The sequence below is a fragment of the Homo sapiens genome, chromosome 13, assembly GCF_000001405.40.
Source record: "Homo sapiens chromosome 13, GRCh38.p14 Primary Assembly".
Classification (NCBI taxonomy): Eukaryota; Metazoa; Chordata; class Mammalia; order Primates; family Hominidae; genus Homo; species Homo sapiens.
In genome coordinates, this window is record NC_000013.11 from 94,458,242 (window position 1) to 94,482,142 (window position 23,901).

Below are 23,901 nucleotides of genomic sequence, written 5' to 3' on the forward strand. Positions count from 1 at the left end.
TTCAGAGCAAAGCTTCCAAAAGTCCTCCCCAAATCACCTAGCACAAGCCCAAACCCTTTCTGTCTTTTCCAACACCCACTGGCTGAGACTTTCCACAGTCCTCCATTCTCTGCCTGCAAGGAGTAACAGACCAATGTATTCAACTACATTGTGTTCCTAGAGGTCACAGACTGAAGAGCATTGACTAGGGTAGCTGAACAGTGTAGCCCTGACTCGTATTTCCCCATTTTGTTTGTCTTAGAAAAGTTCACCAGGGGATGAATATACTTTAAAAACTAAAGACTGGGCCCAGTGGTTCACGCCTGTAATCCCAGGACTTTGGGAGGCTGAGGTGGGCAGATCAGGAGGTCAGGTGTTTGAGACCAGTCTGGCCAATATGGTGAAACCTTGTCTCTAGTAAAAATATAAAAATTAACCGGGCGTGGTGGCGTGCAACTGTAGTCCCAGCTACTTGGGAGGCTGAGGCAGAAGAATCACTTGAACCCAGGAGGCAGAGGTTGCAGTGAGCCCAGATAGCACCACTGCACTCCAGCCTGGGCAGTGGAGCAAGACTCTGTCTCCAAAAACAAACAAATAAACAAACACTAAAAAAGCTCAGAATTGTAAAATTTAGAATCCTATTGTCAAGTTTTGTTCAGTTTGTTTTTGTTTTTGAAACAGGGTCTCACCCTGTTGCACAGGCTGGGATGCAGTGGCACGATCATGGCTCACTGCAGCCTCGACCTCCCAGGCTCAAGTGATCCTCCCACCACAGCCTCCCAAGTAGCTGGAACCACAGGTGCATGCTACCATGCCCAGCTAATTTGTAAAGGTTTTTGGTAGAGAAAAGGTCTCATAATGTTGCCCAGGCTGGTCTTGAACTCCTAGGCACAAGTGATCCTCCCACCTCAGCCTCCCAAAGTGCTGAGATTACAGTCATGAGCCACCATGCCTGGCAGTTTTCTTCTTTTGTTTTAAAGTGAGACAGAAATCAAACTGATATACCAAAGGAGTTCATCACACTGAAATTTAAATAACTGTGAGGCTCCTGCACAGTCAACAGCAATCCTATTTACTGTCTGTATTATTACATGTCAGAGGTATGAATCAGATTAACAAATTAAATTGCCTCAAATGTGAGTTTTTGTATTAATGCCATCGGTGAAGGCATTTGTCATTTTTTGCTCCTATTAGCCAGGAAAGGGGATGTCATGCATCTTGTGGCTTGGAAAATGTTCATAATTTGTCTGTGCTTAGACACAGTTATGGAGTAGTCTTGTTTTTGTCCTGATCCACCATGATCAGAGTGGCCTTGTCTGCTGTTGATGTTCTAGGAGATTGTTTATGTCCAACAGGGGACACCAAGGCCTGGTTGATTTCACCAGGCCAGCTCTTGGATGTCAGGTGCTGCTTTTCTTCTTTCTCAAGTAAAGCTCACTCAAGTTGGAGTAGGAGGTTTAAGTGTCCAGCACACCCTCTCCATTCTCCTCCCCTTTTCTGGCTAACAGAACCTCTCTTTCCTGCAGGTAACACATTGAAGGTGGTTTGTGTGGACTACTGAACCTCAACAATACTCACTTAGCCAATGAAAAATCATTTATTATTATGCTAATTTATGAATTCACCAGTGGAATTGTAAACTCTTGTCTAAGATCACCCAAAAGTGAACCATCCCTGAAGCATGGGTTCTGATTAGGGCCTTCAAATGCTACCTAACCATCCCTATGGTATAGATTGAAATTAATTTACATTTGCACACATCACATTGTTCACACAGAGAATAAAACACCATCAAACATTAATTGTATGAAAAAATAAATCTGACATATTATCTAGAAAATTTTCATGCATTCTGAATCTTTGAACATACCACAAAAATGGGATCATTGGCGGCTGAATGTGGCAAAGCGTTTGTCCCGTTCAGGAAGGAATGAACCAAATTATGAAGGCTCATCACTTGAGAATCCAGAGTCCCATCTGCTTTATCAAACCCTTCCAAAGCATTCCTAGGAGAAACAAGTATATCAGTGACAACAGACAAAGACTGATAAAGGTCTCTTTTTTGTTGTTTTCAGCCTAGATAATAGTTGTCTAATTTGAGATTGGGTAGGGATATGGGAAGCTCTGTCATAGCAAATTGACCAAGAATTTGCCCCAAACTTTAATGATAATCCTCTGTAAGGGGAGAGAACTCCTAAGCAACGCTATTTCTGAATTATATCTCTTTTGTGTACTGTATGACAACTTTCATATCTGTCTCTCATTCCCTTGGAGAGCAGGCTCTATGTTTTCTTCAGATATTTATTGCCAGGGTTCAGTACCATGCCCAGCAGATTGTCTGTGATCAGTAAATTCTTTTATTTAACATATAATCTGATATTTATATTTCTCAACCAAATAGACCTTCAGCTTGACTGAAGGTCCAGCTACTCAGGAGGCTGAGGTAGGAGGATCACTTGAGCCCAGGAGTTTGAGGTTACAATTAGCCATGATTGTGCCACTGCACTCTACCCTAGGTGACACAGTGAGATCCTGGCTCTAAAAAAAAGAAAAAAGAAAAAAATTTTCTACCACCATAGAAAGACTTTAAGAATTATGAGAAATATGTTTATAAATAAGACTTTAAACAAAGATGGGTCCAAAAAGGGGATGGTAGATAGATTAAAGATCTTCTCCAAAACTGGATTCTCTCTCTCTCTTAACTGTGTTTAAAGTAGACAATTTGTATGGGCCCAGGGCAGGGCAGGCTGGACTCAAATGTAGAGGTTGTGCTAAGTGTAGCATGGCTCAGTCTGCTGAGGTTGGACACAGCCTTCAGAGTAGTGTCAAAGGTGGGGGAAGGGTAACATTTAAGGTTGTTTTGAAAAGGAGGATGAATTAGTTTTTCATTGTGACAAAAGTGCTATTAAAACAGATTGCATTTTCTATATGTTTGAGTTAGGGGAGTTGTTCTCAAAATGCAGTGCTCAGACCACCTTAACTGGCATCATTTGGGATTTGGTTAGAAATGCAAGTTGTTAAGACACAGCCTACACCTACTGAACCAGAAACTCTGGGAGCAGGGCATGAAACATGTGTTTTTCTTTGGTGATTTTGAGATGTGCTTAAATTCTAGGCCTACCTCTACAGGTACATACCACCACACCTGGCTACTTTTTTATATTTTTTTGTAGAGACAGGGTCTTGCTCTGTTGCCCAGGTGGTCTCAAACTCCTGGACTCAAGCAGTCCTCCCGCACTGGCCTCCCAAAGCACTAGGATTACAGGCATGAACACCATGCCCAACCTGTGGTGGAAGATTAATAGTTGGTCTTTAAATGTTAAGTATTGTAATGTCATTGCTGTGCTATGATTTGAGTTGAATTTAGTCTGCAATACTCCTCTGAGATCTCAGACCTCACTATTAAGTTCTATGGCTGATAAATTTCTAATATCGACATTTTAAAAAATAAGAAAGGAAAGAGAAAGAGCATGGACATTGAAAAAACACTATATTTAATGAAGTACCCTGTTTCCAAAGACTGGACCTATTAATGTACTGCAATTAGAAATACAAAAGTTGGTTTTGAACAGCTAAGTTAGAAGGTATTAAAACCACATTGTTAGTCATAGTAGATGGGTAAAGACTTTCCTCACACCAATCCCTTGCTAACTTCTCTCGTTAGGCCTCTCTCCATCACTTAGCTTCGTAGACAACCCCCAAAACCTGGGTTTCCTTCCAGTTCTTTACAATCACAGGCATGAAAACCTGTACTGTACAGGCAGGTCCAGCAGAGCTCAGAGCACCCACCTGAAACTGAAGGTAGAGTTCTGGAAGAAGGGAGGATTGTCAAACTTCTGGAGAGACAGGCAATCTCGTATGTCTTTTAAGGTTGGCAATTTCATGCTGTTTCTTCCCATTTGATTTCTTCTCAGCAAACCTTCATAGGTTCCATTGCACAAGGTGACCAGGTGGTTGTAGTCATCCAAGCTAAGATTTGTAATAAGATTTAAAATAATATATGTTGGCTGGGCACAGTGGCTCACGTCTGTAATCCCAGCACTTTGGGAGGTTGAGGCAGGTGGATCCCTTGAGGCCAGGAGTTTGAGACCAGCTATGGCAAAGCCCCGGCTCTACTAAAAATACAAAAATTAGCTAGGCTTGGTGGTGTGTGCCTGTTGTCCCAGCTACTCAGGAGGCTAAGGCAGGAGAATCGCTTGAACCCAGGAGACAGAGGCTGCAGTGAGCAGAGATCATGCCACTGCCCTCCAGCCTTAGTGACAGAGTGAGACCCTGTCTCAAGAAAAAAAAAAAATCCCCCAAAACAAAAAATGATATGTCTTAACTTATGTACAGTATTATAAATTTGGGCCAAGCAAATCAATCAGGGTCACAATCATGGTAAAATTGTATTACAATTACTTTACCAGAGTTAACAATATGTGGTAAAAAGTACTATACCTGAAAGTCATTATGGGTCGAGAAGTTTCAAAAATGTAGATGCACAAAATACGGACATGGGCATAAATATGAATAATCATTACCATTCTGTTGGAAAGACAGTGAGAGGGTTTACAAGGCAAGATGACTCCTATTGTGTGCATTTGAATCTTGAGTAACTGAAGGGAGAATAGGGTGGTTCGTATTATGCTGAGCTAAGCCAGTTTTGGCAGAAGTGACATGTAAAGTTACGAAAACCTTTTAGGCAAACTGAAGGCAAACGGGGAGGTCAGAGTAAAAGCAGATGAAAGTACACAAAGGGGAGATATTAGAAGAAACACTGTGTTGGAAAATGTTCCAAGGTAGTAGAGTATCAATAGTTAAGTGCTCAGCATGGGCTGAGAAGGTCCCATGTCCGTAAGACATTATATCCTACACGCCTGCTATGGCCTGGATTCCAACATCAGAATAGTATTTCTTTCTTTCTTTTTATTTAGTTTTTCTTTTTTAATTTAGAGATAGGGTCTCACTCTGTTGTACAGGCTAGAGTGCAGTGGCATGATCACAGCTGACTGCAGCCTTGAACTCCTGGGCTCAAGCAATCCTCCTGCCTCAGTCTCCCCAGTAGCTGGGACTACTGGCTAACTTTTTTTTTTTTTTTTTTTGAGACAGAGTCTCACTCTGTAGCCCAGGCTGGAGTACAATGGCACACTGCAACCTCCACCTCCTGAGTTCAAGCAATTCTCCTACCTCAGCCTCCTGAGTAGCTGGGACTACAGGCACATGCCACCAAGCCCAGCTAACTTTTGTATTTTTAGTAGAGACAGAGCTGTCAGGCTGGTTGGTCACCATGTTGGTCAGGCTGGTCTCGAACTCCTGACCTCAGGTGATCCACCTGTCTCGGCCTCCCAAAGTGCTGAGATTACAGGCGTGAGCCACCGTGCCCAGCTAGGCTAACTTTTCAAACTTTTTGTAGAGACAGGGTTTCACTATGTTACTCAGGCTGGTCTCGAAGTCCTGGCCTCAAGTGATCCCCCTGCCTTGGTCTCCCAAAGTGCAGACCATTATTTCACTGGCAGAGATAAAAATTTAAAGATGTTATTGTGAGGGTTTTCATGAATTAGGGATAGGACCCAGTATGTGAGAATATAATCAGCACATCCACAGGGATGAAAGAGGCCAGGACCTAAACACTAAGCTGAAAAAGGTCTCCAAGGCCTCCCAGGCAGCGTTTCCCAAAGTGGATTCCAATGGGATGTCCGGTGAAGTAAGAGTTCCAGGGTTAGGCTCCTCTTGAAAAAGAATACCACATTTATCTATGGAAAGCTTGACGACATTCTAAAAATTTAAAAACCTTTTAAACTCAGCCTTCTCTAAATTTACTTGATGACGGAAATCTCTTTTCACATACCATCCACTACTATTCCAAGGTATGGTGGGAAATGGCGCTTGATGGAATTAAGCTCAGTCACAGAAAAAGCACTGATGATGTCCCTGCTCGTGGAGCACTGTTCTGAGCACTGTAGGAAATGTACAGGATGTGGAAGACGAAGTCCCTGCTAGCTGGGCATGGGCCCCTCAAAACGCACACCTATGCAGGCTCAGGGTGTTGGCAGTGAAGCCTGGGGGCCGGGGGAGCCACAGCTCTGTGCCCTGGAGCAGTCTAAGGACCTGGGACGAAAGACAGAGCAGTGGGGTTAAAAACATGGGGATTTTGAGGCCGGGTGAGGTGGCTTACACTTGTAATCTCAGCACTTTGGGAGGCCAAGGCAGGCAGATTACGTGAGGTCAGGAGATCGAGACCATCCTGGCAAACATGGTGAAACCCTGTCTCTACTAAAAATACAAAAATTAGCTGGGCGTGGTTGCGCATGCCTGTAATCCCGGCTACTCAGGAGGCTGAGGCAGGAGAATTGCTTGAACCAGGGAGTCGGAGGTTGCAGTGAGCCGAGATCACGTCACTGCACTCCAGCCTGGTGACAGAGTGAGACTCCATCTCAAAAAAACAAAAAAACAAAAAACAAAAAACAAAACAAATTTTGGAGGAAAAAAATGAATAAAGGAAGGTGAGGTGAGGAGCCTCTTGGGAAATTTTTGGCTGAAATGTGTTCCAGGTGTTCCAGGACAGAGAAACAAATTCAAGGAGCCTTTGAGGACAGAACTCTTCATGGGCTGCAGGCCAGGCCACTGACCTGTGTATGGTCTTTAGTATGTCACAGATCATCCTTCCCCGGCTGGCCCCAAGCCCCTGTCCTCCTCAACTCACCAGCATCCTGTGACTCAGCCATACCAGGCTGTTTCCAGAGAATTATCTAGCTTCACACATGATGTTCCTCCATCAAGGACCCACCCACTGCCCTCCCACACTCCCCTCACCCTCCTCTACACCTCAGGTCTGTGCCCCTCCCCTTCTCAGAGCCATCATCTCTGCCTCTTGGGGACTTGCCCAGACTCTCTTCTTGTCTTTGTGTATACATCTATTACAGTACTTCCCACACTCAACTGTAATTTACTTACAAGAAATCTATCTCGTTAATACAAGACAATATTCAAAAGGGAGGTTTTATTTCATTCATCTTTGTATTCCCGGCAGTACCACATCACATGGGATATGATTGGTGCTTAGCAAATGTTGATTGAATGCAAGAACTACTCTTAATTTGATTAGGTTGATGCAAAAGAAATTGTGGTTTTTGCTATTACTTTTAAAGGCAAAAACCGCAATTACATTTGCACTAATCTGATAAAACTAACCTGATCTCAAAATGATGGCCAAGCATAACCAATTCACAAATGTGATTTTGATATTTTTTTTTTAATTAAAGAGCTTTGAATTTTTGAAATCCCACCTCCCAGAGGAAAACTGTTTTTAGAAACATGTAAATAGGACACCACATGCATAAGAAACAGCACTATAAAGTGACTTCTCCTCCATGTCTCAGACATCAGAAAAGACAATCTCTGGATGCCATTGCAGGTACAGGAGCCATTACCTATCACAGACAGTTTCCCAGCTGGAGAATCTTGAGTTCCGACTAATCAGAGTCGGATCGTCTGGTCTCGCTGCCCCAAACAGCTGGTCTGTACACACATCACACTCGTTCCTCCCAGTGGCAAAGTTCCAGTAGGGCAAAGCAAAAGACTCATTGCCAATGAGTCGCTAAAAGCAAAGGGCAGGCCTAGTCATTTAATCCATGCCATCAGATACAACAAGAAAGCATACAAGGCAAAGGCTGATATGTATCTGAACCAAATATCTACCAAGACAAAGACTACTGGATGGATAAATGAATGAAGAAACTGTGACATAAATCAGTGTGTGTATATTTTATATATATATATATATATATATATATATATATATATATATATATATATATATATACTGTGTACAATGGAGTATTATTCAGCCTTTAAAAAGGAGACCCTGCCATTTGCAAAATGTGAATGAATCTAGAAGACATTGTGCCAACTGAAATAAGACAGATACAGAAAGAAAAACACTGCACTATCTCACTTATATGTGGAATCTAAAGAAAAGAAGAAAAAAGAAAAAGAGTGAATACATAGAGAGTTACATAGTAGTTACAAGGGACTGGGAGAAATGGGAAGATGTAGGCTGAAAGGTGCAAAGTTGCAGTTATGTAGGATAAATAACTCGAGGTCTGAGACTATAGTTAACGTTGTATTGTGTACTGGTGATTTGCCAAGAGAGTAGACCTTAGGTACTCTTACCACACACACACAAAAAGAGATATCTCTATGTGATGCTGAGTATGTTAATTTACTTTAGTGCACTAATCACTTATCTTGTATGAGTATCAAGATAAGTATATCAAAATTCACACTGTATGCCTTAAATATATACAATAAATTTTTTAAAAAATTAAAAGAACTAAATGCATAGTTTTGACCTACCTGGAGATCTCTTTCCAGACACAACAAATGGTACCGGTGCCAGGTAACAAATGCAGGTCCTTGATGTGAGAAATCTATGGCCCTGTAGGGGCGTCCTGGTCCTGAAACAATTGGGAAACATATTAGAGATGACAGAATAGAATTTTTTAAAATGTTAAATCTTACCTGGGCTGTATCTATAGAGCCAATAAGTCCATGATGTTTTATAGTAGTAAGAAAAAAAAGTTTTGTTGTTATTTATATCTCCAAAAGCAATAGTAATGACATGAATTTCAGAAGTAACTAGTACTTTTAGGATAAACCCTCCTTTATCTCTTAAAAGGTTGATTTCTAGCAGAGATCCAGGAAATTCAGGTGACTTTCAGGATTGGGAGCCCCTGATACATATTTAATTTGTAAGCAACAATCCATTCAGGTGAAATAGACTATCCAAAAGAATAGATCATTAAGACCTAAAGGAAATATATTTTTTAAAGGCATTTGCTAACCTATGCTTCACAAAGATATAAATTTAAAAGGGAGGGATTAATTAATAATATTGTAACTTCAACTGCACTTAGTCCTAATGCAGTATTTATGTAACCAAAAAGAACTTTCGCGTATTTTGCCTCACCCATCAATCTGTTATAACTACTAGCTGACAAGCATGTTCGCTGAGACCAGAAGAGAGAAAAATACATTCAAGCCATTTAGGCTGGACACTGGAACTGCCAATTTTAGTGAAAAGCTCTGGACGATTTAATGACCTCCTTACTGCCTGGTCCATCCTTCTTCCCTTTTTCATAACAGCTTTGATGGTTATGTGGAAACTTTAGCTAACTTTAGTTCTTGTCCAAAATACCTATAACAACTTCAGAGAGCTGAACAGACGTGAATATAAATTTAATTCGTAGCTATGACCAGAAACTAGGACTTTCTTTTCCTCTTGAGAGAGTACTCTCTCATAAAGCAATAATTCCTCAGAGTGATAACAGGAAAACTATAAAGGTTTATAGCCAAAAGAGCCTCCTTATCTATCGATAAAGACAGACAGATGCTTACCTGTAAGGCAAGTTTTAAAAGACTCACACTGAGAAAAGCACTGCTGTCCCTGATGTTGGCTACACGGCCCTTTTTCATGTTCAATTCAGAGCAAGGTTTCAAATTCTCAGAACCCAACAACGAGAGGGTATCAATTGAAGGGGAACAAGTGATGAGCAGAAGGATGAACCTGTCCAAATCAGAATCTTGCTCTTCAAAGTGAGCTTGATGTCTTCATTCATCCTGACCCCAATGAAGGACCCCAAAAATGGGGAGAGGTGCACGTGCAGCCATGCATTCAAGAACTGCTATGGGAAGAATCTAGGATGGAGTCAAGCCCTCCTGGAATACATTGGTGTCTATGGCTTTCCTTTGACTGAAAAATAAGGACAAAGCTGAACCTACTTGATACATGAAGTTTGTAACAGACAACCCCCTCATTCCAAGTCCTACCCAGCCCCCAATTTTTAAGACTTGGAAGGGCAGGTCACCAATTTCTCAAGCATCCAACATGACTGTGTTGCAAAGAGCTAAGCAGCAGAAACTCTACATTGCTGTGGCTAAGCTTGTACTTTTCCTTGACAATAAAGCTCCAAGAAACCTGGGGATTCCGGACCATGCAGGAGTACCATAAATGATTATCTGAAAGTCTATCATGTGATAGACTGTCTAAAATCCATCCAAAGTTGATCTATCCTGTGAGTTTAACAAGATGCCCACTCCCAACATGAGCACTCTAATTCCGCACAAAGAAGCTTCATGTGCCTTAGCACATGTTCAGTTAATTCCTCTAATTTGGAGAAAAGGTCAGAGAGGGCTTCCATGGCCAGATTCGCAAATATTTTCTTCTGAAATCAAAAGGAATTCGCCTCCACCTCACCAACTCACATCTTTGATGATTAACAGCTTCACAGAGAAAAGTTTACACTTTGAACCAAGAACATACGGTAGAGGAGAGAACATTTAAAGTGTCTGCATCCAATGCACAGGAAGAAACTGCTTCCTTCTAACTCCAGGCGGTATTTGATAATTCTACGACTTTCATAAACCTAAGGCTGCCTTGTGGTTGCTCTCTTAATTAACTTGCATGAAATTACTTCCCACTGCCATACCCTCAACCCAATCACAAACCTGTAATAATATACCTTCAGCCAAGGAAAAAACCCACCTAATAATGTATCTCTAACAGAATAATAATGGAGCCACACAAAAAAATCATAAACACTGCAGTTGGCAAACTGCGGCTGGGTTCCATTGGGCCCAAGCAGGCCCAGCCAGTGTTGTGTGGTGATCACGTAGTCGGGGTGTACTCTCTTCTTCGCGAGATCTAAGGCGCCCAAGAACTGCTCTCTTTCCTGAGGACTCAAGGAATGGATGTTCTGCCGAATCACTGGTGGTTTCTTCCGCTCGCAGTTGGGACCGGTCCAGCCAAACTTGCAGTCTCCACAATTATAGCCGGCAAAGTTTCCTAGTTCACAAAACAGAAAGATGGAAAGGAAGGGGGTTTATGTCGTTTGGAAGAAATTTCTGAATTTGTACTCTGAAATTTGAATGGAAGAGAAGATGAAGGTGCTTACACAAAGGCAAAGAAAGTCAATTTTCCTCCCATGGTCTCCTCTTAAATGTTTATATCTCCAAGTGGACTAAGCACTAGAGGGTTTCCTAGACACATTCCCAGCAAAGAAACAGGACATGAAATACACTGTATACTGCAATGAGCTAAACCGTGTCCCCGAAGTCCTAGCCCCAGTATACCTCGTATGTGACTATATTTGGAGATAGTGTCTTTAAAGAGGTAATTAAGGGTAAATGAGGTAATTAGAGTAGGCCCTAATCCAATATGACTGGTGTCCTCAAAAGAAGAGGAAATTTGGACACAGTTTTGGAAGGAAGACCACATGAAGACACAGGGAGAAGACAGCCATCTGCAAGCCAAGGAGACAGCCCTCAGAGGAAACCAACTCCCTGATCTCAGCCATCCATCCTCCAGAACTGTGGGAGGGTGAATTTCAGTGTTTAAGCTGCCTAGTCTGTGGGATGTTGTTACGGCAGCAGTAGCAGACTCATGCACACACTCCTTCCTCCCAGGATCGCAGGCGTGTCTCCTCCTGCGTCCACTCCACGCCCACAAAAAGGGATGACACAGAACAGTTCATTGATTTAGAGAAGGAAGAAAATACACAGCAAGCTAAAGATGAAACCAAAATAAATACATGGCTTGGCCCGGTGGCTCACGCCTGTAATCCCAGCACTTTGGGAGGCCGAGGCGGGCAGATCACTTGAGGTCTGGAGTTCGAGACCAGACTGGCCAACATGGTGAAACCTCGTCTCTACTAAAAATACAAAAATTAGCGGGGCGTGGTGGTACATGCCTGTAGTCCCAGCTACTGCAGAGGCTGAGGCAGGAGAATGGCTTGAACCCGGGAAGTAGAGGTTGCAATGAGCCGAGATCATGCCATTGTACTCCAGCCTGGGTGACAGAGCAAGACTCTGTCTCAAAAAGAAAGAAAAGAAAGAAAGAAAGGAAGAGAAAGAAAGAGAGAGAGAAAGAAAGAAAATAAATACATAAATTAACTGATTTCTAGGAATTTAGAAGAAATCTCACATTTAAAAAGCTGACTTATTTCACGAAGTTGACAGCATTAAGACAAAATCAACGGAAGCTGTCAAGTCCTCAGGGTGAATCAGTAGCCATGATGTCAGGAAGTACAAACCACCACAGGATTTCTGTCAGCTGCACAAAGCTCCCTGCTTTCTCAAAGCCCAGGGAAGGAGGACAGGACTAATAAGATCAAGCTCTGGGCATCTCTCTGATCAGCATCTAAAGTTTACATCCTTGTAGCTTGCCCCAGACTTTTCCCTTCTTAGCCTTCCAACTTATTGCCTTTGGGTATGACCAACATTTCATTCCTTAGGTTAGAGGGTAAAATTTAAATATCATTAGAGCACAAGATTGAAACGAAAGGGGATGATAATGCTTATCTCCCAGAAGATTAAAGGGATTACGTAAAGCATTTAAAGAGGGTGACCAGCTCACTTACTCCTCCTCCTCTACCTCATGCCCTAGGCCTATTTGCTTGCTTTTCCTTCTTCCTGAAACACTTTTCCCTCACTGTCTCCCTAAATTCCTCTTTACCTGCGTGATCCATTTCTCCTTTAAGCTTCACGTTTGTGCTCTCTAAGGTCATTCTTGATTCCAAAGGTCGGGGTTCGGGTCAGTTACTTCCTTGCACCTCATACATCCCCTTTCTTCACATTTATTTACACTGATTGTAAACATTACTACACTTGTTTCAGCTCCAGGCAGCTGTAAGGCTGTGAACTCACTGCCTAGGCCTGTGCTTAGCCTTGTTCAAAACAAATGTGTGTTGAGTGAATAACAGAAGTATCGAGCATGTAGCAGATGATGCCACATACATTTTCTCTCCCTGTTCTGTGGGTTTGCAGAAAAAGCAGCCCCTATAAATAATTTTGGTAAACTACAAGTAGCAAAATAGAGGTAAGTAAAAAGTACTATGACCATAGGGGAGGGGGAGTTATTTGGATCTCTCAAGGAAAGGAAAATTTTCCAACAGCATGAAAACAAAATGATTAACAGCATTCTGTAAAGAAAATGCACAGGCTTCCTTTTCTACAGTGGATTTTCTGATAGTTAAAGAAAATTTCCTTAAAATGTAAGTAGGGAGAATTTTTTCTAATTGTAATCGGTTGAGTTTTTTTGTTTTTTATAATATATCATATATCCCACCTTTTACGTAGCTCAATTATCTGTATTTTTCTTTTACAGCACTCTATGAGAACATAAGTTAAAATATTGAAAAAAGGAAAAATTCTACTCTTCCCAAGACTAACAATGTTTTTGAATAGTTTAAGTTAAACATTAAAATGTACATTGATTCCTGGAGATAATTAAATACAAACTATTTATTTAACAAATATTTATGAAGCGGCTACTATCTCATCAGATGCTATGCAAGATGCTTCGTTTTATGGACCTTGAAGTCTATTTTCCCTGGGGCAACCTTACTAAAACTGTATGTATTAAAAACAGATTTGATTAAAACATATCACCTACTATGACAGTACAGGAATGGAACACTGTTTTGAGAACTGAGTGAACAAAATGCTGTGTCTAAAGAAGAGTAGCTACCCAGATTAAAATTCAGTCAAATTTCCAGCTGCCTATCTATAGCTGATTGGAGGTAAATGTCTAGTCACTTCTCTGCAGTAGAAGAGTAATTCCTTGCTTCATAATGCTGAGAAATTTGGATGATAATAATGTCGGTAGAGGTTCATTGATTGTAACCCTGGTTTGCGGATGTTGCTAGTGGAAGATTGCAGAGTGTGGGGGAGAAGGTAGATGGGAATTTTTTGTACTTTCTCCCCAATTTCAATGTGAATCCAAAACTGATCTAAAATAATAAAGTCTCAATATTTAAAAATATTAATAAATAACACACCTAAAATTTATAATAATAATTTAATACCTTTTTACATTTAAAGGCATAACACTTGTTTTTGAATTGGGGGCCTGACTGTTGAAACTGAGTCATTCATAACTTATGCCATGAATTTGAAGACTACTCTTATTTTCTTTGCCATGATTCTTTGTAGTTGGCAGAAACAAAATAATTGGCTCTCTCATGTATTTATTTAACAAACAATTTATTGAACAGCTACTATCTAAAAGGTAGCCAACACTAAACATGCACTGACAGTGAGGGAGATGTGAGTGTGTGAGGGCAGGGGGTTGGCAACTCTCTGTACTTTTGACTCAGTTTTGCTGTGAACCTAAAACTGCTCTAAAGTCTATTAAAAAATACAACAATCAACACATCTTCCTTTATGCTACCATAGCTTTTATGTTATAAAAAACAAGCACATTAATGTGGAGCACATAGAACTACATCTGGTATACAGTGAGTTAAATATATACATACATACATATATATATATATATATATATATATATATATATATATATATATATATTTTTTTTTTTTTTTTTTTTTTTTTTTTTTGTCAAGACAGTCTCACTCTGTCACCCAGGCTGGAGTGCAGTGACGTGATCTCAGCTCCCTGCAACAACCACCTCCCCGGTTCAAGCGATTCTCCTGCCTCAGCCTCCCTAGTAGCTGGGATTACAGGTGCACACCACCACACCTGGCCAATTTTTGTATTTTTAGTAGAGATGGGGTTTCACCATGTTGGGCAGGCTGATCTTGAACTCCTGAACTCGGGTGATCCACCTGCCTTGGCCTCCCAAAGTGTTGGGATTACAGGCATGAGCCACCGCACCCTGCCGTGAGTTCTATATTGTGTTATTATTACTAGTATTATTAGAGACCACTTATCAAATAGTATAGCAATTGTTTGTCTTCATATCTGTCTTACATATGACTATACTGTGCACATCTTAAGAATCACGTCAGTTTTTCCCCCTCTCTGTATCTGAAGGGCCTAGTTGATGCTAAATAAATGTTGCTTGGATGGGTGGTGAAAGAATCAATGAATAATTGAATAAAAGGGATCAGACACTAGTGAATACAAATACAGATGGCCTCTGACTTATGATGGTTCAACTTAAAATTTTTCAACTTTAGGATGGTGCAAAATCAATATGCATTCAGTAGAAACTCTACTTCGAATATCCATATGACTATTTTGGTTTTCACCTTCAGTACAGTATTTAGTAAATTACATGAGATATTCAATACCTTATTATAAAATAGGCCTTGTGTGAGATGCTTTGTCCCAACTGTAGGCTAATGTTAGTGTTCTGAGTGCATTTAAGGTAGGTTATGCTAAGCTGTGATGTTCATAGATTAGGTGTATTAAATGCATTTTTGACTTAACAGTATTTTCAACTTATGATGGATTATTGGGATGTAACCCCATCATAAGTCAGGGAGCATCTGTATAAATGAGGCAATAATACCTTAGTCTAGTGGAAATGAAGGACAAGTACACAATGACATTTCAACACAAGTCAAACTGTGGGAAAAGTGAAAACAGAGGAATAAGTCAAGCTCCACTGGATGACAAATGACGAAATGATTAATCCTGATTCAGAAAATCAGAGATGCTTCACAACTACAGTGAACAAGAAACTTTAATGTAACCAGAGTTGCCTCCAAAAGGCAATGTATAAGTTCTAATAAGAAAGCTTTCAACATCTGTGAAAAGAATGGGAAGTGGGGGGGTAAAGAAAGCTTGTGTCTGTTTTGGAGCCCATTTATGACCCAGAAATTTATTCAATTAAAAAATTCCTTTTCCAAGATGTCTCAGAGAAATTATTCCAAAGCTCTGCAGTCAGGTCCCTTTCATTTCTAAGTTTATAGACCTGACCTGAAGAATTTGTTGAAATGCTGGAGATGACTGAAAAGTGTAACAACATGAAAGCCTAGCAGACAAAATGTTTATTTCTTTAATTTAGTTTTCCTAATAGCATCTTCCATCAATTTAACATGATTTAGTTTTTTCTTCTTAATCTACCAATGCAAAAAATATAAGAAGAGAAGTGTTTTAGAAAGAACCGTGTTATCTTACTGGGAAATGGAGAGAGGAAAAAAAATGATTCCTAGATAATATCAATCTATCGACCATTGAGTATGTCCTTCAGTGAAAATTAAATTTAAAGAGTCAAAGTCTCATGTTTACAAAGGACTATGATAAAAATGGAAAAAAGAGTGAGATCATCTAAACACCACACATTCCTACATGAACTGCATCAGCTCAACCTCAGAAAGCCATTAGACTAAATAAGCTTAAAGACCACCGATTAGTGAATTTACAAGGAACTCTAAATAGCCTATTCCTTTTAATTAGAGATTCTATTATTTTAATAACAATACTTTATACTTACATAGGTCCTTTCATCTACAGAAATCAAAAGGATTTTACAAGTGTGGTTTCATCATTATCCCCATTTCAGAGATTGGAAAATGGAGGCAATTAGTCACTTGTACAAACAAGAAGTTCACCGTCAACTGTTCAAAAACTATTTGGTGCGCAAGTTTTTCAGAAGCCAAAAGACATAGCTGCAAATGGCATATTCTCATAAAGCCAACTGGCAGGTAAGCCTTATAAGGTGAATAGCAAATTCAAAGTCTCCTGCAATTCAGCTCTTCCTGACAATTAAGCTCAGTGGCTTTTTTGTTTCAATTTATCCCTACAGAGACTATAGAGAAGCTCTCTACAGAGAATTTCACCATAGAATTTAGAGTTTTAAAAAACAAATCCCAGAATTTCTATGTGTTTCTACTTATTAGGCTGAAATTACTTTACCAGCTTCATGATTATGGAAACTATGAGGTGTTTATTTTCCAAAGAATTAACAACATTTGGGGTCATCAATAGTCTGTTACAAGACACTAATCTACATCTCTTCCTTGAGAAATTTTGGATCATCCCAGGAGTGCCCCAGTGACTCCATTCGCAAAAGAGTCATCAGGCTACTGTAGAGGATGTTCTCTGGGAGGCTCAGGATCAGGTTTCAATTCCAAAGATTGCCCCACAAACCATAAAAAAGCTACCCTAGGAAGGCTAGCAACTTACTCTTTGGGGAATAATTAATTGAAGGACATGTGTCCTGCTTTGGGACACACGGCTCATCACAGAATGGTAATTATGACATACACAAAATAACTTCCCAGCTCAGTCACTAAGGACTTAGTCTCGTGCCCTGAGATTCAAAGAAAAAGACCATCTAGCAAGATAAGTAGAGCCATCCAAAGTTGGTATGACAATACAATGGAATATTATTCAGCCTTTAAAAAGAAAAAAATTCTACCATTTGCGACAGCATGGATGGACCTGGAAGACATTTGTGCTAAGTGAAATAAGTCAGTCTCAGAAGGACAAACTCTGCATGATTATTCTTATATGAGGCATCTAAAGTAGCTGAACATAGAGAAGTACACGACGGAATTGTGGTTACCAGGGGATGGGGGAGGGGCGATAGGGAGTTGTAAAGTTATAATGATACAAGATGAGCAAGTTCCAGAGATTTTCTGTACAATATAGTGCCTATAGTTAACAATAAGGCATTCGGCACTTAAAAATGTGTTAAGAGGGCAGATCTCATGTTAACTGTTCTTACCACAAAAGCAAAAAATAAACAAAAACAAAGAACCACGAGGAACCTTTGGAGATGATGAATATGTTCATTATCTTGATTGTGGAAATGGCAACACAACTGTATAGGTATGTCCAAACACCATATTGTGCACGTTAATTATGTGCAGTGTTCTGTGTAACAATTATGCCTCAATAAAACTGGGAAACATTAAAAGTCTAGTAAATTGAACTTATAGATACAGTAAATCTTAAGTTACCTTTAAAAAAATGTAGGTGTGGAAAGAGTTCTGTTCCTGATGAGTTTGGACTGAGCAGATCACGGGGGGAGGTGAGCCACAGCCTGGAGATGGGGCCTCAGGGCCAGGCCGGGCCTTGACAATGGCTGGAGAGGCAGACCATCTCCCTGGAGGAAGCCCTGCTTCTTTGGACTGGCTTATGTACATGGGACTTCCTTACAGCCTGGACTTAAAGAACAGGCCCTATTTATTTCTGGCCCAAGGGCTTTTTAGAGCAGGGGGAGCCTCTTTTTTTTTTTTTTTTTTTTTTTTTTTGAAGGTAGGTCTCCATGATCCTAAGTTCCTATTACTTCTAGAGCAATATTTATAAACATTTCCTTACCAAAGGGAAATAGCAATGATCCCTTCTATTCTTTCTATCCCTACCTAAAACAAAACAAAACTTGCTAGCCATGGCAAAAATATGAAGAAGCTGGTAACAAAAAGAGTTTATGGTTATATGTGACTTCCTAAAGTCCTCTGCCTCAGGATTCTATGCAATGCAGATTTACAACTTTTTGAAAGTGTTGGCACTTTCTTTTTTTTTTTTTTTTTTTTCTGAGACACAGTCTCACTCTATTGTTGCCCAGGCTGCGTGCAGTGGCGCGATTTCAGCTCACTGCAACCTCCACCTCCTGGGTTCAAGTGATTCTCCTGTCTCAGCCTCCCAAGTAGCTGGGATTACAGGTGCCCATCACCACACCTCGCTAATTTTTGTATTTTTAGTAGAGACAGGGTTTCACCATGTTGGCTAGGCTGGTGTTGAACTCCTGACCCGTCTTGGCCTCCCAAAGTGCTTGGCTCCCAAAGGCGTGAGCCACTGCGCTTGGCCAGCACTTTTTCATTGATTGACATAGAAATAATTGTTCTAGAAGTATTTTGGGGTTTTGAACAAAGAAGTTACTGTGTTAGTGTGGTTTTCAATCACGCTAACCACACCAGCAACCTGCTCCTCATTCGTCTAAAACACCATGATAATTTTGAGAGAAGGTCTATAGAAGCAAATGCTTAAAAAACTTAGAAAAGCTGGATAATATATATCCAATATGTTATTGAAATTTTTGTCATGATTAATACCCAGGGCAAAACCAGGACCTAGATATTCTTCTGAATGACAGAATTAAAAATATTACTACAAAATGATTATAAAGCCAGAACTATTTATTTATTTATTTATTTTTTTGAGACAGATCTCACTCTGTCACCCAGGCTGGAGTGCAGTGGTGTGATTTCTGCTCACTGCAACCTCTGCCTCCTGGGTTCAAGAGATTCTCCTGTCTCAGCCCCCAGAGTAGCTGGGATTACAGGTGCCTGCCACCACACCCAGATAATTTTTGTATTTTTAGTAGAGACAAGGTTTCACCATGTTGGCCAGGCTGGTCTCAAACTCCTGACCTCAAAGTGACCCACCCACTTCAGCCTTCCAAAGTGCTGGGATTACAGGCGTGAGCCACTGCACCAGGCCTAAAGCCAGAACTCTTAATGTGAAAAAAGAAATCTAATGTCTGGGCACTCATGGACATAAAGATGGCAACAATAGGCACTGGGGACTGCTAGAGAGGGGAGGGAGGGAGGGGTCAAAGGTTGAAAAACTACCCACTGGGTGCTTCGCACACTACCTGGGTGACAGGATCAATCATATCTCAAACCCTAGCACTGTGCAATATATCTATGTCACAAACCTGCACTTGTATCCCCAGGATCTAAAATAAAGTTGAAAGTTAAAATTAAAAAAAAAAATCGAATGTCATTCCTACACCAACATCACAGGCCTTTGTATGTTCCCTTAGTAATACCTATTCAACCCCTTATGAAGCTCAATGACCTATATCCTCCTATGTTCCAGCATCCTATGAGAAGAGAAGTAAAAAGTATTTTTAAAAGGAAAAAGTCTTCTGCAACCACCCAGCCTACAACAGTGTCCAAGGGCTTTCCTGAGGTTGCCACTTGTGTTTTTTGTATTTCAGTGGCCCCCTGCCAGGCTTTGAGTGTTTATTCCCGAAGGGCATATGGCTGCTGGAAACTGGAGGTGGGAAAGATTGAAGAGGATTTGAAAAAGCCCCAAAGAGCTAGAGGAATGAGAAATGCACAGAGATGTCAAAGCAACAGGTAATGAGAGAGACCAGAGTCTAAAGGAAGGACACTGAGCAAATTTTGTGATGTCCGGTTCAAGTCCAGAGAAGAGTGACAAAAAGCCATTGTTATCTAATAACAACCCCCCGCCCGCCCCCCCCACCCCCAGCTCCTCGAGAAAGCTCTGTCTTGCCACGTCTCGACAATTTTGTCAAAGTTACAACCTGGTCATAAGCTTTAATGAGAAACATGCACCCTGCTGAGGTCAGGAGTTCGGGACCAGCTTGGCCAACATGGTGAAACCCCGTCTCGAAATACAAAAATTAGCCAGGCATGATGGCGGGTGCCTGTAATCCCAGCTACTTGGGAGGCTGAGGCAGGAGAATCACTTGAACCCGGGAGATGGAGGTTGCAGTGAGCTGAGATAGCACCATTGCACTCCAGCCACGGTGACAAAGCGAGACTCCATCTCCAAAAAAAAGAGAGAGAGAGAGATCTGTTCAAATCATGAGAAATGCTGAGACCAGAACACCTGCCTTTGACTCCTGTCTTCCGAATGCCAAGCTTCACCCATCCCTTTTCAACAAGTGCAAACCCATTTCAGGAGAGGGCACCGAATCCATCTTGAAAGGACTTGCTCCGAGTTTCAAAGCTGACGCTTTTAAGCTCTTAAATTCCCCTTCCAACAAACAAGCCAATAGTATGTTGGCATGCATTCATATAAGCAGGCTTGGCCCACGCCATATTTATTTAGTCTTCATAACTAGATGTACTAGAGGGTGTGAAGAATAAACCAGCACATCAGCCTTATTGAATATGCTTCCGACCAAAACCATCATTGGTTTGCCTTTCAAAGCCTAATCTAAGAGTCTCTGTCAAGAGTCTCATCTCTTCCTTAGAAGGAGCTCTTTCCCCAGCTCTGGCCCTCCCCACCAAGCTTGGAGCATGGGCCTCACCTGTGCACTTGCAGGTCCGGTGGAAGAATTTTCTTGGCCACAGCTCACGGTCATCCTGGTTTCGTAGGATGTAGGGACCACTCCAGGGCCTTGTGTCGGCTCGCACCTCTGTGCACTGCCCCCGGCCTTGCTGAGAGCCACAGACATTGGCCGACTCTGCACCCAGGCGTGGGCAGCACTCCTTGTTCACTAGGCTGTCCACCGTCATGCAGACTCGGGGGAACTGACCCTGGGCTCCTGGCAGGATTTTGCAGCCCAAGCAACTGAGCAGAAACCCCCACCAAAGGGGGCTCATGGCTTTATAATTGGGAGAGCTCTCTCTCTCTCTTACTTTCCTTGTCTCTGTCGTACTTTTCTCCTTATCTTCTACTCTTTCAGTCTTTTCTTTTCAGTATTTTTTATTTTTCTTTGCTTTCTATTCCTTTCTTCTTAAAAAAATACCCACAAGAATCACAGAGGTTACATGTGTGCACATGTGTACATGAACGTGCACACACAATTTTATGTGATTCAAACAACTAACAGACTTAATTTCCTTAGAAGCGCCTCTAACAACCAAATTTAATGAGGGTAGCGCTTCTCACCATCTTCCCCCGTTAAGTCAGGCTTTGTCTAATTGAGTTAATTTACAGAGCACCCAGTCATACTACTTATTATGCTGGTATTTCTAAACCCTCTCCCTCCCTCCTTAGCTCTTGACTTTAATTGCCTTGAACTCAGTTCAAAAGCCAAACACCGTGCTGCTTTTATTCTCTCTGGCTTGCCAAGCCACGGGGCCTTGGGGGCTTGTGTAAGGGCTGGGAGAAGCCTTCATTAGGGGGATTAGTATTACAGAAACCCTCATCATTAGCACATGACCCAAAGTGCACAATAAAGGAGATCACTTCTGGCTTTATTTCAGGAGGGCAAAACCATCTTCTTTATCTGGGCTCATGTGCTCCAGCCAAACTTGTGACCTCAGACATCCTGGGGAGTCAGTAGATGCAGTGAGCTCTTCGTCAAAGACCCTTTACACAGAAGCTCACATTGCCAACTACAATGCACTCATGGCTGCTTTCTGACATGTGTGCAAAAAAGACCACAACAGGGGGTCATGCAACTTCAAAAATAAAGAAACATTTATGTAGAACCAGGGTACAAGGAATTGCTTTGTTCCACAATTGGGAATCCTCTTCCCTCCAAATAATAACTTACTCTTCTCCTATTCAGCACATCTACGCAGCAATTTTTTTTTAATTACATGAAGTAGCATGCCACCAGAAACTCACAATTGTCATTATCTGATTGTATGGAAGGCACTGGAACCATTTGGAATGAAGGCTTGCAAGCAAATCTTTTTGATTAGACTAAAGTGAAGCATGACTGAGCTTCAGTCTAGAAAGCAATGCCTCCTGGTGCTTCTGGAGAATGGTCAGGTCAGCAATGGTGGCCACCTGTCAGAACATCCATTTATTTTTTCACAGTGGAAACAGGACTGTCTTGGTAACTGTTTCACAGTGGAAACAGGACTTAGTGCCACAAGGATGCGAAACGGCTTCAGCTAGTTTCTAAGAATATACTTGAATGTAAAGACACATATTGTTATGTTTCAAAGCAAATTCCTAAGGTGAAACAATTATATAGGTATTCCCACCCCCTGTACCTCTGTGCCACCCCTTGATGTTAAGTTGTTGTGACTAATTAAATGGCAATTCTTATGTCTGACTCTACACCAATATCAGCCTGTACCACAGCCCTACTGAATCAGAATCTCTGAGGATGTTCCAGACACCAACCAACCTTTGTTAGAAAACATCTAGGCAATTCTAATGCTCAGCCAGAGTTGAGAATCACTGAATCAGAATACAGCAGAGCTCCAAAGGAAATATTGCATCAGCATCAGCTAAAAGAGACCATGTGCAATAGTTTCCTGAGGCTTCTGTAACAAATGACCACAAACTGGATGACTGAAAACAACAGAAATCTATTTTCTCACTGTTCTGAAGGCCAGAAGTCTAAAATGAAGGTGTTGGCAGGACTGGCGTGTGTCAGCCAGGCGGCTGCACTCTCCCTGGAGACTCTAGGCTAGAATCCTCCTTGCCTTTTCAAGCTTCTGGCAGCTGCTGTCAATCCTTGGCTTGAAACCGCAGCTCCAATGTCTGCCACAGCCCCATGGCCTTCTCCCCATCTGTCTGTGTTTTTCCTCCATGTCTGTTTCTTATAAGGACACTTATTGGATGTAGAGCCCACTCAGATAATCCAGGATGATCTCATCTCAAGATTCTTCACTCAATTACATCTGCAAAGAAGACTCTTTTTTCCAGACAAAGTCACATTCACAGGTTCTGAGACATGGACATATCTTTTGGGGAAGTCACCATTCAACCTAACACATCATGGGTGGGAAGAAACTTGGGGTTCTAAAATCGCAAAATCTCAGGGGTTTTTGAAACCTTTATTTTGGAGCTCATTCATTCATTCCATGTATATTTATTGACTGCCACTTCATGCCAGCATTGTGACACTTGGGAATTTTATTCCAGGTTTTTGTGAAGCCTTGGGGCTCCATAAATGTTAAGATAAAATTTCTTGGATGTTAAAACTGATGGAGTCAATAATTCTTATGTCAGAATGCCCCAGGTCGAAGTCCTAGGATCTCTTTTCTTTCATTTCCACACTTGCTAGATAACTCAGCTAGTCTGAGGCCTTAAATGCAGGCTATCATGACTTTCCAAAATTACAACTCTGACTTTGACCTCAGTTGTGAGCCCCAGACTCATATTATCTAACTTCCTACTGGACCTCTCTACTTGAAGGTTTAGATATTTCTCACCCAAGTTGAGAACTTTTGCTCTCTCCTCCCAAATGTGTTCTCCATTGGTCTTCTCCATCTCCACAAAGAGCAGCATCACCACAACCCTACAAGTGATCTTTGAGTCTTCTCTTTCCCACCTCCCCATGTGTGCTTTCCAATGCACTTCAAGTAAAATCCGAGGTGCTTTGCATGTGCTACTCAAAGTGTGGCCAACAGATCCGTGAATGGTGTGTTCCTGGTTTACATCAAGTTAAGAACAATAAGAATAGAAATTGAGAGTCAACACTGGGAAATTTTCATAGCAATTTGACATTGGGATAACATTCAGGCATACGATCAGTAGTTTCATTCAAGAGGGGAGAGTCCGGCTGTGAGGTTGCCAAACGTG

The 23,901-nt window shown here is 41.3% G+C and overlaps 1 protein-coding gene across 10 annotated transcripts in view; it reads right to left on the reverse strand.

Annotated features, from left to right (window-relative positions):
- DCT (dopachrome tautomerase) overlaps positions 1–23,901 on the reverse strand; it is a 112,596-nt gene that overhangs the window by 21,431 nt on the left and 67,264 nt on the right. For 4 of the 10 annotated variants that reach the window (NM_001922.5, NM_001129889.3, XM_017020401.3 and 1 more), the window contains exons 1-6: positions 20,720–21,441; positions 10,505–10,804; positions 8,317–8,417; positions 7,392–7,558; positions 3,769–3,948; positions 1,850–1,985 (exon numbers count right to left, since the gene is read on the reverse strand). In NM_001922.5, coding sequence (NP_001913.2) covers positions 1,850–1,985; positions 3,769–3,948; positions 7,392–7,558; positions 8,317–8,417; positions 10,505–10,804; positions 20,720–21,014 — 1,179 coding nt within the window. In that variant the 5' untranslated portion in view covers positions 21,015–21,441. Of the gene's footprint in view, positions 1–1,849; positions 1,986–3,768; positions 3,949–7,391; positions 7,559–8,316; positions 8,418–10,504; positions 10,805–20,719; positions 21,442–23,901 lie in introns of those variants that run through there. The other 6 variants (NM_001322185.2, NM_001322184.2, XM_011521049.3 and 3 more) reach the window with 2 other exon arrangements.